Raw genomic sequence first — 16,701 nt, forward strand, 5'->3', positions numbered from 1 at the left:
CCAAACCAGCAGGCAGCCTCTTTTCCATGAGAGACAGTTATAATTTTGAATTATTGTAATGCTGTACTTGCAGCAAACTCGGTGTGTGTGTGTGTATGTGCACACATGGCTGGGAGTGGGGGGTAGTGCCAAAATGTTGGTTCTATGGCAAACAACAACAACAAAACAAACAAACAAAAAAACCGGCTGTGTATAGCTAAAAAACATGGCCAAGAAAAAGGTAGAATAGAAAACATGTTTTATTATCCTGATACTAAAGCCTGGCAGAGACACAATAAAAAAAGAGAATTTTAGACCAATATCCCTGATGAACATCGATGCAAAAATCCTCAATAAAATACTGGCAAACCGAATCCAGCAGCACATCAAAAAGCTTATCTACCATGACCAAGTTGGCTTCATACCTAGGATGCAAGGCTGGTTCAACATATGCAAATCAATAAATGTAATCCATCATATAAACAGAACCAAAGACAAAAACCACATGATTATCTCAATAGATGCAGAAAAGGCCTTTGACAAAATTCAACAGCCCTTAATGCTAAAAACTCTCAATAAATTAGGTATTGATGGGACGTATCTCAAAATAGTAAGAGCTATCTATGACAAACCCACAGCCAATATCATACTGAATGGCAAAAACTGGAAGCATTCCCTTTGAAAACTGGCACAAGACAGGAATGCCCTCTCTCACCACTCCTATTCAACATAGTGTTGGAAGTTCTGGCCAGGGCAATCAGGCAGGAGAAGGAAATAAAGGGTATTCAATTAGGAAAAGAGGAAGTCAAATTGTCCCTGTTTGCAGATGACATGATTGTATATCTAGAAAACCCCATCATCTCAGCCCAAAATCTCCTTAAGCTGATAAGCAACTTCAGCAAAGTCTCAGCATACAAAATCAATGTGCAAAAATCACAAGCATTCCGATACACCAATAACAGACAAACAGAGAGCCAAATCATGAGTGAACTCCCATTCACAATTGCTTCAAAGAGAATAAAATACCTAGGAATCCAACTAACAAGGGATGTGAAGGACCTCTTCAAGGAGAACTACAGACCACTGCTCAATGAAATAAAAGAGGATACAAACAAATGGAAGAACATTCCATGCTCATGGGTAGGAAGAATCAATATCGTGATAATGGCCATACTGTCCAAGGTAATTTACAGATTCAATGCCAACCCCATCAAGCTACCAATGACTTTCTTCACAGAATTGGAAAAAACTACTTTAAAGGTCATATGGAACCAAAAAAGAGCCCGCATTGCCAAGTCAATCTAAGCCAAAAGAACAAAGCTGGAGGCATCATGCTACCTGACTTCAAACTATACTACAAGGCTACAGTAACCAAAACAGCATGGTACTGGTACCAAAACAGAGATGTAGACCAATGGAACAGAACAGAGCCCTCAGAAATAATGCCACATATCTACAACCATCTGATCTTTGACAAACCTGACAAAAACAAGAAATGGGGGAAGGATTCCCTATTTAATAAACGGTGCTGGGAAAACGGGCTAGCCATATGTAGAAAGCTGAAACTGGATCCCTTCCTTACACCTTATACAAAAATTAATTCAAGATGGATTAAAGACTTAAATGTTAGACGTAAAACCATAAAAACCCTAGAAGAAAACCTAGGCAATACCATTCAGGACATAGGCATGGGCAAGGACTTCATGTCTAAAACACCAAAAGCAATGGCAACAAAAGCCAAAATTGACAAATGGGATCTAATTGAAGAGCTTCTACAAAGCAAAAGAAACTACCATCAGAGTGAACAGGCAACCTACAGAATGGGAGAAAATTTTTGCAATCTACCCATCTGACAAAGGGCTAATATCCAGAATCCACAAAGAACTCAAACAAATTTACAAGAAAAAAACAACCCCATCAACAAGTGGGCAAAGGATATGAACAGACACTTCTCAAAAGAAGACATTTATGCAGCCAAAAGACACATGAAAAAATGCTCATCATCACTGGCTATCAGAGCAATGCAAATCAAAACCACAATGAGATACCATCTCACACCAGTTAGAATGGCAATCATTAAAAAGTCAGGAAACAACAGGTGCTAGAGAGGATCTGGAAAAATAGGAACACTTTTACACTGTTGGGGGGACTGTAAACTAGTTCAACCATTGTGGAAGTCAGTGTGGCGATTCCTCAGGGATCTAGAACTAGAAATGCCATTTGACCCAGCCATCCCATTACTGGGTATATACCCAAAGGATTATAAAACATGCTGCTATAAAGACACATGCACATGTATGTTTATTGCGGCACTATTCACAATAACAAAGACTTGGAACCAACCCAAATGTCCAACAAAGATAGACTGGATTAAGAAAATGTGGCACATATACACCATGGAATACTATGCAGCCATAAAAAATGATGAGTTCATGTCCTTTGTAAGGACATAGATGAAGCTGGAAACCATCATTCTCAGCAAACTATCGCAAGGACAAAAAACCAAACACCGCATGTTCTCACTCATAGGTGGGAATTGAACAATGAGAACACACAGACACAGGAAGGGGAACATCACTCACCAGGGCCTGTTGTGGGGTAGGAGGAGTGGGGAGGGATAGCATTAGGAGATATACTTAATGTTAAATGAAGAGCTAATGGGTGCAGCACACCAACATGGCACATGTATATGTAACAAACCTGCACGTTGTGCACATGTACCCTAAAACTTAAAGTATAATTAAAAAAATAAAATAAAATAAAGAAAATATGTTTTATTAACAAACAGCATATTTTATAATGGCGGTGATCAATATTTATTAAACACAAGGTTCTAGAGGGCTCTTCTGGTAGGATAATTCTAAGAAAGAGGTTCCAGATGTCAACTTACATATTCCCTTATAAAACACAGCCCTGGCTTACACAGTATCTGGTGTACATGTCTCTTCTCTCCAATGAACTATAAGATCTTTGAGGTAAGGGTTCAGTGCTGCACCACTCAGCTACACTAATGGCAATGTGCACACAGTGAGCACTCATTAAATACATCAGTTACAGTTCACTTGCAGTTGCTTGCTTACTACCAAAAACCGGGGTCAATCATTATAAGCATTCCCATCCAACACCCAATTTGTTGCATGGGGAATGAACTTCAGTTTGGGTCCCTTGCTATTAAAGCACTCAATACCCATTATTTGTTTGCATTTATGTCGAACTCATAGATGCAGGATCTGAAAAGTTAAATGAAGCTTAACATAGGCATCCAAATAAAATTAATTAGAATTTATATCTCAACTATTTCTAACAGAGTTTGAGTAACAAGACTCAACAGAAGGAAAACAGGGTAATAACAGAGACTAAGAGGGAAAAAAAGGAAGGCAGCAGGGAGTGAAGGCTGGAGAAGAGAAGAAGGAAGGAAAAGAAGGAGGGACAGAGGGTGGAAACATCTATCTAAGCAAGAGCTTCTTCCTCAAGTCAAAAATTTCTGCAAAAAACAACATCTTTTTGGACAAATTTACATGATGCTTCTAACATCTGCTCATTGTGAAAAATGCAGGATAAAAACCTACAAATTCAGTATTTTTAGTATTTTTATCTAAATTTATATTTCATCAAAACAAGATAAATTTGAAAAATATTAATACATATATAGGCAAGACATTTCCTTACTTTGCGGAAATATGCTCACATAAATAATCCATTCTTTGCCAAAATAGAGCCCTTCCAACACCTGTTCCCCAATCTCCAAGGCAGGGTCTTGGTCCATGGGTTAGAATCACTAAAACACACAAAATACAAGGAAATGTATCTATTAAGCACCATTTGGATTCTAAGATGCAAGTAAGAAACCTAATTTGAAAGGGCTTACATAATAAAGGTGGTTTGCTGGCACATGCAAATGGAAAGTTCAGCGGCTTCAGGTTGAGTTTGAGTCAGTTGCTCTATGATGAAAACAAGGGCCTATTTTCTCTCTCTTTTTTTTTTTTTTTTTTTTTTTTTTGGGAGACGGAGTCTTGCTCTGTCGCCCAGGCTGGAGTGCAGTGGCATGATCTCGGCTCACTGCAAGCTCCGCCTCCTGGGTTCACGCCATTCTCCTGCCTCAGCCTCCCGAGTAGCTGGGGCTATAGGCGCCCACCACCATGCCCCGCTAATTTTTTTTTTTTGTATTTTTTAGTAGAAACGGGGTTTCACCATGTTAGCCAGGATGCTCTCGGTCTCCTGACCTCGTGATCCGCCCGCCTCGGCCTCCCAAAGTGCTGGGATTACAGGCGTGAGCCACCGTGCCTGGCCAATAAGGGCCTATTTTCTTTCTTTCTACTTCGTCAACCACATCCTAGGGGTAGCTTCCCTCGTGACAGCAAGGTAACTCCAGCAGCCCCAAGCTTCATGTCCCAAACATCCAGAAGGACACAGAGAGAGGGCCGTCTTGGGGAGGTCTATCAGAAGACTGAAGAGCCTTCTTCCCAAAGTCCTCAGCAAGCATGCTGGTGGCCTGCACAGGTCACATGCCCAGCCATGAACAAACCTCTTGGCATGACTGCCACTGGGTTAATCACTGTGCAACAGGTGTGGGGTTTACCTGACTGGGCTTAAACAATCAAGATCCATCCCTGGAGCTGGGGGTGGGACCAATCCTTCTCCTACCAGAAGACAGAAACAAACATTCCCTGTTTCCTATGGAAGGGACTGGGGAGGGAGGGAGAAGAGACATTGTGAGAAGGGGAACAATTAGAATGCCCTCCACCCTTCACCTGGCACTGAATTTGACCCTGTGATTCCCAGTATCAAGGGAAAATATGGAAATGTATTTTAAGTGACACTATTTTTATCGTTTAACAAAGACAAATGTTTATTCTTATACAGAGATAAATTCTTTTGAAGGGAAACCCAAGGAGAAGAATGTCTTGGAACTGTGTTTAAGAGAAAATAGGTAAAGCAGGAGGCTTAGTTTGGAAAGATGCAGTCACACTCAATAGGCCATTCCTTTTTTTTTTTTGAGACAGTCTCTTGCTCTGTTGCCCAGGCTGGAGGGCAGTGGCGCCATCTTGGCTCACTGCAACCTCTGCCTCCCAGGTTTAAGCGATTCTCCTGCCTCAGCCTTCCAAGTAGCTGGGACTGCATGTGCATGCCACCATGCCAGGCTAATTTTTGTATTTTTTTAGTAGAGATGGGGGGTTTTGCCATGTTGGCCAGGCTGGTCAACAGGCCATTCCTACATGGATCCTCCAGAAGGCAGAGCATGGGACAGTAAATCATATCATAATCCAGTGAAGTTACTTTGGCAGAGGGCTGAGATGATATAGCTCAGATGCTTTCCCTTCAAATCATCGAACTTACTGCAAAGAGTAGTAACTCACATATCTTAGAACCCCTTTTTTAATGTTTATTTTTGTAGGTACATGGTAGGTATATATATTTATGGGTTACATGAGATATTTTGGTACAGGCATGTGACGCATAATAATCACATCAGGGTAAATGAGGAATTCATCGCCTCAAGTATTTATCCTTTGAATTATACTGTTATTTGTAAATGTACGATTATTTTCTACAATAGTCACCCTGTTGTGCTGGCAAATACTAGGTCTTATTCAATTTTTTTGTACCCACGAACCATCCCTATTTCCCCCCCGTCACTCACCCTACTACCCTTCCCAGCCTCTGGTAACCATCCTTCTACTCTGTATCTCGATAAGTTCAATTCTTTTAATTTTTAGCTCCAACAAATAACTGAGAACATGCAAAGTTTGTCTTTCTGCTCCTGGCTTATTTCACTTAACATAATGACCTCCAGTTCTATCCATGTTGTTGCAAATGACAAGATCTCATTCTTTTGTATCGTTGAATAGTACTTCATTGTGTATATGTACTACAGTTTTCTTTATCCATTCATCTGTTGATGGGCACATAGGTTGCCTTCCAAATCTTGGCTATTGTGAATAGTGCTACAATAAACATAAGTATGCAGATATCTCTTCGATATACTAATTTCCTTTTTGGGGGTATATACCCAGCAGTGGGATGGCTGGATTGTATGATAGCTCTATTTTTAGTTTTTAGAGGAACCTCCAAACTGTTCTCCACAGTGGGAAATTACATTCCCAGCAACAGTGTACAAGGTGTCCCTTTTCTCCATATCCTCACCAGCATTTGTTACTTATTGCCTGCCTTTTGGATAAAGGTCATTTTAACTGGGGTGAGGTGATATGTCCTTGTAGTTTTGATTTGCATTTCTCTGATAAATGATGCTGAGCACTTTTTCCTATGCCCGTTTGCCATTTGTATGTCTTCTGAGAAATGTCTATTCAAATCCCTTGCCCATTTTTAATGGGATTATTAGATTTTTTTCCTATCGAGTTGTTTGAGCTCTTTATATATTCTGATTATTAATCCTTTGTCAGAAAGGTAGTTTGCAAATATTTTCTCCCATATTGTGGGTTGTCCCTTCACTTTGTTAATTGTTCCCCTTGCTGTGCAGAAGCTTTTTAACTTGATGTGATTCCATTTGTTCATTTTTGCTTTGGTTGCCTGTGCTTGTCCAGGTATTACTCAAGAAATCTTTGCCCACTTCTGTTTCATGGGTCTATGTGTCTGTTTTTATGCCAATATCATGCTGTTTTGGTTACTATAACTCTGTGTATAATTTGAAGTTAGGTAATGTGATTCTTCCAGTTTTGTTCTTTTTGCTCTGGATAGCTTTGGTTATTCTGGGTTGTTTGTGGTTCCAATAAAAATTTTTGAATTGTTTTCTCTATTTCTGTGAAGAATGTCATTCATATTTTGATAGAGATTGCATTGACTCTGTAGATTGCTTTGGGTAGTATGAACATTTTAACAATATTTATTCTTCCAATCCATGAATTAGACCCCTTATGTATCATATTTATAAAAGTAAGCTCAAGCACTTTAAAATCATGACCTCTAGAGTGTTTTAAATTACTGTCATTATCAGATTATCCTCTGAGTGTGCATGTGTGTGTGTGTACATGTGTGCACCTGTCATTATTTCAAATTTTAAAATATTTGAGTGCTACTAGATGCTCAGCTCTAAGAGACAGGGTACAAGGAGGAAGAGTTCAAAACTATAGTTGTCTCTGCCCTCAAGAAGTGTAACAACTACTACTACCATCAACTGGATAAAATTATAGGATGTCAGGCACTGTGCTTTACATTTATTTTCTCATTTAATTTGATCCTCACAATAACCCTATGAGCTAAATATCAACTTGATTTTCCAAATTGGGAAACCAAGGCTTGAATGGCTAAGTCATTTGACTCAGTCACACAAGCAACAGGCAACAGCAAGGATTCAAAGCCAGGTACTCCCAATTCCAAAGCCTAGATTCTTAACCACAGCACATCTGGCTGACAAGAAAACACAAACATCCATTAAGGGTGAGGAGTAGAAAGAGTATATTTACAGTGAAGAGCTAAGTCCTGAGATATGGAGTAAAGTGGCTTAGGAGAAATCAAAGAATGCAAATAGGGTGAGGAGGAGCCACATACACAGCTGTTAGCTTTGTGAACCCTGTGAACACTGATGCCTAACTGATCAAACACAATCTGTCTGCTGGCCTCTGACCCATGATCTACTAGTGTACTATGTCTTTAGCCACTGACAGAATGGAAAACCAATGACGTTTTGACAGGCCTTAAGACCTTTCAAAGTTATCTCCAAGGATGGAATCAGCTCTTTCCCTGATGTGGACAGACTTCTATTCTGTTCTAGACATAAGGCCATATATGGAGGAAGTTTGAAATCCTCTGGCCAAATACTAGATAGTACTTCCATTGTTTAATAATTAAGTGATTTTTATAACCCTATCCCTAAGAGCATATGGCAATTGTCTTTGCCCACAGGATCAACTGTCACTAACCTTTTAGCTTGGTGGAAAAAGCTAAATGTCTTATAATGTCTAAAAAAATGTAATACCACTTCCTCTGTGCTTGTCTCCATGTACCAGGAAGTCGTGGGTCTAAGTGGATGTGGTGTCCCTCTCATGCCTCAGCAGTCCCTTTACAAAGCAGCAGACTTCTGGGTACCCAGGTCGGGGCAGACCTCCCAACCTTCAGGGTATGCTTCTAGGTTCCCAGTGCTCCAAGAGAGGGAGAAATACTTCCTCTATAAAATAATGGGGAGTCAGAGGCATATGGGATTTCCCTTTGCTTCCATGAAATTAGGAGAAAGCACCAACACTTTCTAGTAATTCCACAGTGAATAGGATGTGCTACCAGCCCAGCATCAGTAGGGCTTCTCTTCATTCTCAAGAAGTGTAATTACCTGACGTGGCTGCCTGGAATTAAGATTGCCGCTATCAAGGTAATAAGAAACAGTTCCATTCTTCCCCATGAGCCAATTATTATCAGGGTCACATCTGGAACCTTGGCTTCATTTTCCCGATTCAATCCATATTTGAATGACCACTATGGACCAGGTTCTATGCTAACATCTCACTGACTCAAACAGTCTTAGGAAATGGATATTATTTCTGTCTTACCTATGTGGAAGCTAAATAAAGCTCAGGAAAGTTATATCTTTTGTCACAGAGCTGGACAATTATAGTTGGATACCAGACTGAATCTCCTGACACTATGTTCTGGGCTGACTCCACTATGTGCCACTGACTCCCGTAGTGCTGAGGTTTGGGGCCTTATAATATTATTATTATAATAACAATACATGGGATTTCAATGGTCATCCTCATAATCAAGCTCTTACTCTACTCTCAAAGGAGAAAGAACATATCATGTTGAAGGGGGCTATTAGAAGGCAAATGTGGTAAGTGCTGCAATGAATGGACACAAGCAGTTTAGAAACCCTATGACGAGGATCAACTCTGACTGGAGTGAGGATGAAGGAAAACTTAAGAGATGTGAAGCCATCCACTGGGGAGGAGATGCTTTTGAGGTTAACAGAAGCTCTTAAACACAGAGTTGGAAGCAGGCAAACACTAAGGGATTCGTGGACCACCTCTTACATCAGGGTTTCTCAATCTTTTTATTGACATTTAGGGCTAGATAATCCTATGTGCTGGGGGGCTGTCCTGTAAATTGCAGGATATTTAGTAACATCCCTGACTAGATGCCCACTAGATCCCAGTAGAGCACACTGTCCCCAGGTCATGACAACCAAAAAGTCTCCAGACACTGCCAAATATCCCCTAGGGGACACAGTTATCCCTAGTTGAGAACCAGTGCCTTTGGTGAAGATGTGCCAGAAACTGGGGATTGGCTAAATGCGGAGGCTGGGGAGGTGCAGAGCAAGAACAGGAAGCCATGAACCAGATAGGAAAGAGGGACAGATGTGTGACTCAAGTCCTCTCAGCAACTCCCTCAGGTATGGACTCTGACTACCTTAAAGCAAACGGAGGGTCAGGCACAGTAGCTCACGCCTGTAATCCTACCACTTTGGGAGGCTGAGCCAGCAGGATCACTTGAGCCCAGGAGTTCAAGTCTAGCCTAGGCAATAGAGTAAGGCCCTGTATCTGTTTTTTAAAAAACACATATTTAAAAAAAGACAAATGGAGGCAAATAAGATCCCATGATGAGGGCCCTTTGATGAATGTCCAGTAGGACCCTGATTGGGAGTAGGACATTTATAAGTGGAGAGGATGGATTCTAGACCCACGCAGCTTGGAACAGAAAAACCCTTACTCTCTTTCTCCTTTCAGTAAATCAAAGAAAGAGAAGACAACCAGGGGGAATGCTAATAGAATAGTCATAATGAACCTGGAATTCCCACGCCCATTTGGGAGGATTGGAGAGGAACTGGATAAGGAGAAATACTGATGTGTGTTGTGTCTGTGACTGCAGTGCCATCCTTACCTTCTCGGCCATCTCCTATTCCCTCACCTCTCACCCTTGGAAGGGTTTTGGCCCAGGAAAAGCAAAAGGAGTTGGGATACTTACTTCAGGGAGGGAGGAAGGAAAGAAAAGAAGGGAGTAGAGATGAGAGAATTCTGAGGTTCAAAAGATATCTATTGACAGTGTTCACAAAAAGGACCATGTTTCCCAGTAAAAAGAAAACAAGGTAAAGCTGAGGCTGGGGATGGGGGTTGAGGAAAGGGAAGGGGCCTACAAGTAAATGTTTACAAAATGCCCACTGAGTGTCAATTCTGGGCAAGGCACATTGCATGAGTCACCACCTTCAATTTTCACAGCATCATGTAATACCTATATATGAAGTGGTTATAACAAGCTCCTTTCTATAGAGAAGGAAAGTGAGGTTCAGAGGCATCTTCACAGACTGAGGGGACTCCCAGCGTGGCCAGGGGCTTGTTTGGCAGACTCCTCCATGCTGTGCCTCCTCACACTTCAGCACCCACAGCCTCTTGCCTCATGCAAGCTGTAGCTGCCTGCTTGTCTGTTTGCTCTGCAACATTAGAGCAGAGGGGCTCTAATCTGTGTCAGGTGCTGTGCTTTGAGTTCTGTGACTCTAGTATTTCCTTATGTGCCAGGCACAGGCCCCAGTGATACAAAGAAGGGAGCAAGAGTTAACGCTGAGGTGAACAAAGGACCCATGGAAGCCCAGCTGTGTGAATTTACAGCACAACTAATGAGCACACCCAGTTACATAACTGCCTCTCCTGCTCTGCTCCTATGCTCAGCAGCCACTAGAGGAAAGCAGGGCTGTCTTTCTTTTCCTGTGCTATATATAATTCCAACTGTTTGGGCAGGGAAATGTGCTACAGCTCCACAGCTCAGTTACATTAGATCTTAATTTTTTCTTAAAAACCTAGCAATTTCTAACAGTGATGCCACAAAGATAATAATACAGTAATCTTAAGATTGAGATACTTTACCCACATTTCCTGCACTTTTCTACCTTGAAAACACTCATTATTTCTGGTTCCACTTTGAGAAGCAGCAAGCAAGGAAAGGGTGAAAATGTGAGATGCTGAAGAGACAGCTTGCAACATTCCATAATTACAGCCTTCAATGCTGGAACCTCAAGTCTCCAATATCAAATGGAACAGTACTTCCCCTTGGTATCTAACTAGGAGCTGATCCATTAACCAGGAATATATTTTTGATATAGAGTAGGCCAGTTTTGTTTCTGGTTCTTTTGCATCTCCTTTCCTAGGCCCTAAACACAGACTCCATGACCTCATGACAGTAGAATGAATGCTGCATAAAGAGAATCATTCATTCGTCCTGGGACTTCACTGAAGATGATTTTTGCTTAGTAAGCCTCTTCTTCAGATATAATACTAAAAGGTATGTTTTCTGAGACCTATTAAAGCACACATTTACTAAAATTTACATTAAGTTCATGTCAGTCCTAAAAGGTTCTCTAATTTCTGAAAGCCATAGTCTGTTATTCTAATGTGAATTGTTACACACACATACAGACACACCTTGAACATTTTAAAATTACATTTATTTAAGCATACTCACTCACTCATACTTTTTGCCAATTTGGTTGGGCTTTCCCCTAAACCAATTCTTCTAAAATGGTGAGACTTTAACAAATAAAATGATATAGCTGATATTTTCATAGGGTAATAGGTTAAGAAGAAAAAAATCCAGGCTTTTGAAATACTAATTGTATTAGCATTAATACTAATACCTAGGCCAGGCGCAGTGGCTCACACCTGTAATCCCAGCACTTTGGGAGGCTGAGGCAGGTGGAACACTTGAGGTCAGGAGTTTAAGACCAGCCTGGCCAACATGAGGAAACCCCATCTCTACTAAAAATACAAAAATTAGCCAGGCGTCGTGGCACATGCCTGTAATCCCAGCTACTCGGAAGGCCAAAGCAGGAGAATCACTCGAACCCAGGAGGTGGAGGTTGCAGTGAGCCGAGACTGTGCCACTGCACTACAGCCTGAGGGACAGAGCAAGACTCCATCTGAAAAAAAAAAACCAAACAAACAAACAAACAAACAAAAAAAACTAATATCTAAATATTAGCAGTACTATGATTTATAGACATGAACTCTTATAAAGAGTATGTATATGGCTGGGCATGGTGGCTCATGCCTGTAATCCTGGCACTATGGGAGGCTAAGGCTGGCAGATCGCTTGAGCCTAGGAGTTTGAGACCAGCCTGGACAACATGGCAAAACCTTGTCTCTACAAAAATACAAAAATTAGATGGGCATTGTGGCGTGCGCCTCATGCCTGCAGTTCCAGCTACTTGGCGGGGCTGAGACAGGAGGATTGCCTGAACCCAGGAGGTCGAGGCTGCAGTGAGCCAAGATCATGCCACCGCACTCCAGCCTGGGTGACAGAGGGAGAACCTGTTTCAAAAAAGAAAGACTTGCTTAATACTGGGCAGCTCAGTTATAGCAAGTACTAGTCAAGGGTGGCATGTCACTGTGTTCAGAGTTGGATGAACCTGGGTTCTAATCTGGACTCAGCTACTTCCTAGTGTAGGTCATTTGGGTCTTGGGCAAAGTATTGAACCTCCCAAACCTCAGTTCTCTTTTGCACAATGGAAATCATCTGAATATAGACAAGATAGGGCCCACTATAAAAATTAAACAAGATAGTCTGTGTGGAAGTATCTTTAACAGGCATTAAGTGCCTGTTAAGTGTCTTTAACAGGAGAATTAAGTAGCATGTTCAGGCTTTTTGCCTCCTTCCTCTTCCCCTCCACTCCCCAGTGACCAACTTGCACCCTGAGTAAGGTTTTGCAGCACCATCCTTCTCCTGTGGCTTGTAAACCTCTGCAGTAACTTCAGCAATCTACACTGCCTGCACCCTGCCCTCCCTGTATGCTCCCCTGAATCACAACCATATTTGCCTTTCTAGAGCACATATCATTGTCTTCAGTGATTCCCTGCAGGACAAAGTCTGCCCACTTCAGCCTGGTATCATGATCCTGTCTTAGTCTGGTCCAACCCACCCTTTCTGAACAGTTCCTTACAAACCCACATCTTCCTACCTCAACTCTGCCTAGGCCATTCCCCTGCTTCAAGCTCTTACAGAGCCTCCCATGGCCTACAGTATAAATTCCTAACTGTTTCAGGTGGCATTTGAGACCGATGGTATCAGGTCCCTGCGCCTCTCCAGTTTCACTGTCTGCTACTCGTTTCCCTCCTTATACTTTACACCCAAGCGTAAATCTACTTATAGTACCTGAAACCCCATGCTGGGTCATCACTCTTCAGCTTTACATATACTCCTCTCTTTGACGAGAATACTCTTCTCATCCATTTGGCAAATTCTTCAACAGACTTCAAACCTCTCTCAAATGCCTCTACTTCTGTGGTACAGTCTGTCCAGAACTGTGTCTTGTACATTTTTCTACTACTTTGCACCTGTGCCTGTCATACAACGATTTCTCCAGTTTCTCCGGTTTTTTTTTTGTAATTCACTGACCATTATTAATGTCTTCTCTGCTAAAAGTATAACAACACTCAGCTTTGCACAGAGCAGTTACTTGGGAAATGTTTGCATTGCTGAACACAGGCAGCTTCCAATCTCATGGGAACATCAAATGAAATGCAGAGGATACATGCTATACAACACAGTCAAGAGGACTGAAAGCAGGCAGCAGGAGAATTCCACAATATTCCTGTTTAAAATGTTAAAATGTTGGTGGCTGCCAGAGCTCAGGAAAAGAAAATTTTTTTATGTGGTTACAGCTCACTCTAACGAGTCAATTACATTGACCTAAAGCCCATGGTGCTCAAAACTGTATTTCTCTCTCCAAAACCTCATTCTTTTATAAAGCTCCCTCCTCTGTGGAATGAATGTGGGCAATCGCTTTTGCAGTGTTTGACGATGCCAGTTTATGGCTATGTTTTTCTGTTCACTGAACTGGCTCATTTCTTCAGGAGAACAAACTGTTCTCCACTGAAGCAGGAATTGGCTGGGTTCTAACAAAAAGATTTTTCCCCCCTGACAGTGTTTTTGCAAAAGACCCAAGTCAATTTATAGCCAAGTAACAAAAGGTCAGAAAGGTTAGTCAAGCAATGGGCGTAATTCCTGTGTGTCACAGCCAATAAAGGAAATGGGTGGGGATAAATAGTATGCAATTTTAACCTGAAATTATTTGTGCAAAACTATTCTTGTAAACTATACAAAATTACCCATGACTTCCACTATATAGGATTTCTCACTCTGATTTTTTTAAAGGTACATTTACTTTGGAAGAACTGAGATGACCTCAAATTCCTCATTCACAAATGGAAAATGTTAAAAACTTTCTTCACACTAATATAAGAAAAACTTGGTCATTGTTTTGCAGCCCTGAAACAGAATTGTTCACATAAAAAAAAAAATCTCATAGTTAAGTCACAATTAAATACAATTTGCATGACTGAATTTAAAATAAATTGCAAAATTCCCTTGCCAAAAGGGAAACAACATTGACCAAAAGGATAGGTCAAGAAAAGACCCTACAAAAGTGACAGTTCCTCTGTTTTAATCATGCTAAAAGTATAACAAACTACTGCATTATTCAGTGAGCATAAGAACAAGAAAAGCCTGCCTTTAAAGCAGACACGAAGAACTGACATCACCAGCCAAGCAAGCGGAAGGCAGATGAGTAATAGCCTGCACTGGGCGGCCAACCAGGCCCAGGCCCATCAGTCTGTGGAGTAAGAAAGCCTTTCAGATATCAAGGTCGTTGGGAGGCCTCCTTCCCCCAGTTCTCCAATACAAAGTCTAATCTACTCACCATTTAAAACAATCTTAGCATCCAAAAGATGAATGGTTAAATAGAACCCTGTCACCGTTCAGACAAGATGGTCTAAACCCATTTCTCTCCCCACCTCCTTGTAAGCACAACTGTAAATCCTGAAAATAACACAAAAGGCAACCAAAGGAGAAGTCTGAAAGAAAAAGGAAGGTGAATTACTTAGGGACCCAGGATTGGAGGAACAACATAGCAGCACATCTTATGACCACACCCCCATTCAATAGAAGAAGGTGGCCGAGGGTGTTTCCCAACCCCCAACCTAGCAACAGAGGGCAGCAGAGGATTGAATGGGAGTTCTGCCGACAATACCAAGCCAGCTGGAAGCACCAACAAGGGGGATAGCTCAGGACCCCACTAACAATAAAGCAGTCTGGGGAAACACTTTTCCCCCCAACTACAGGGCCCCCAGGAAGCAAGCTGCATCCCAGCAGGATGGAGACTCCCTCCTCTACCTAGATATCAGGCAGCATGGCCTGGGGAAACTCCTTACCCCCATCAGACAGCACCAACAGGGACTAGTGGGAGCCGTGGCAGCACCAGATAAACCAAGTGGACCAAAAGAGTACTGCAAAGGCTCTGAAAAGTAAATCATCGTTGGAACCACAAGAGTAAATCCCAGCTCACATGCTGCATCTAAACACTGTGACCGCCTGCTAAAATGGAAGATTTAAATAGGACCCAGACTCTCTTAATAGACAAAATGTCCGAAGTAGATTTTAAAAAATCACCTGTTGGCCAGGCGTGGTAGCTCATGTCTGTAATCCCAGTACTTTGGGAGGCTGAGATGGTTTAATCATTTGAGGCCAGGAGTTCGAGACCAACCTGGGCAACATGGCAAAACCATGAAGATGGACTGAAAACAGACAGAACCTCCAACACTTATGAAACAATAGCAAAAGATCCAATATTCATATTATCAGAGTCACAGGAGAGAATAAAAAGAAGGGCTGAAAGAGTATTCAAAAAGATAATGACTGAAAATTCCCCAAATTTGCTGAAGGACATAAACCTAGATTCAGAAGGTGAACATATCCCAAATAGGATAAACTCAAAGAAATCCACACTAAGACACATCTTAATTATATTTCTGTAAATTAAAGACAAAGAATAACTCTTGAAAGCAGAGAAAAACAACATACTACCTATAAGGGAATATCAAGCGACAACAGGTTTCTTATCTAAAACCATGGAGGCCTGGCCGGGCACACTGGCTCACGCCTGTAATCCTATGACTTTGGGAGGCCAAGGCAGGCAGATCATTTGAGGTTAGGAGTTTGAGACCAGCTTGGCCAACATGGTGAAACCCCGTCTCTACTAAAAATAAAAAATAATAACAAATAAAATTAAAAAATAAAACCATGGAGGCCAGAAGGAAGTGGCACAACATTTTTATGGTTAAAGGAAGTTTTTCAAACAGAAAGGAAATGATTAAAAGAATTCTGAAGCATCAAAAGGGAACAGAAAACAACAGAAAAGGCAGAAATATGGGGAGATATATATATATATAGATTATCCTCCTGTAGTCCCAGCTATTTGGGAGGCTAAAGCAGGAATATTGCTTGAGTCTAGAAGTTCACTTCTACCCTGGGCAACATAGCAAGACTCTGTGTCTTAAAAAAATTAAAAATTAAAAGGGGGAAGGTAAAGGGACCTGAATGGAAATCAGGTTTCCACATTTCACTCAAAGTGGTAAAATACTGATCATAGTAGACTACAGTAAGTCACATAGGTATACTGTAATACTCAGAGCAACTGCTAAGAAAATAATACAAAGAAATACACTAAAAAAACTATTAGAAAGTCAAGATAAAAACCTCTCAAAATGTTCAAGTAACCCAGAGAAAGACAAGAAAAGAAACAGTAAATAATAAATGGCAGATTAAAGCTCTAATATGTCAATAATTAGCTTAAAGATAAATGATCTAAATACACCAACTAAAAGGCAAAGACTGGCAGAGTAGAATAAAAATACAACCCAACTATATGCTGTTCACAAAAACTCACTTCAAATTCAACAAAATAGTTAAGCTAAAAGTAGAGTACTGTCTATAGAATAGATAGAATAGCAATGC

At 41.1% G+C, this 16,701-nt stretch overlaps 1 protein-coding gene across 24 annotated transcripts in view; it reads right to left on the reverse strand.

Annotated features, from left to right (window-relative positions):
- ZHX3 (zinc fingers and homeoboxes 3) overlaps positions 1–16,701 on the reverse strand; it is a 139,277-nt gene that overhangs the window by 56,585 nt on the left and 65,991 nt on the right. For 3 of the 24 annotated variants that reach the window (NM_001384323.1, XM_047440044.1, XM_047440042.1), the window contains 2 exons: positions 4,559–4,665; positions 3,649–3,757 (listed from right to left, as the gene is read on the reverse strand). The exons of the other annotated variants lie outside the window; for them this stretch is intronic. The gene's annotated coding sequence lies outside the window, so the exon portion shown is untranslated. The remainder of the gene's footprint in view (positions 1–3,648; positions 3,758–4,558; positions 4,666–16,701) is intronic. 24 annotated transcript variants of the gene reach the window in all.

The sequence above is a fragment of the Homo sapiens genome, chromosome 20 (assembly GCF_000001405.40).
Source record: "Homo sapiens chromosome 20, GRCh38.p14 Primary Assembly".
Classification (NCBI taxonomy): Eukaryota; Metazoa; Chordata; class Mammalia; order Primates; family Hominidae; genus Homo; species Homo sapiens.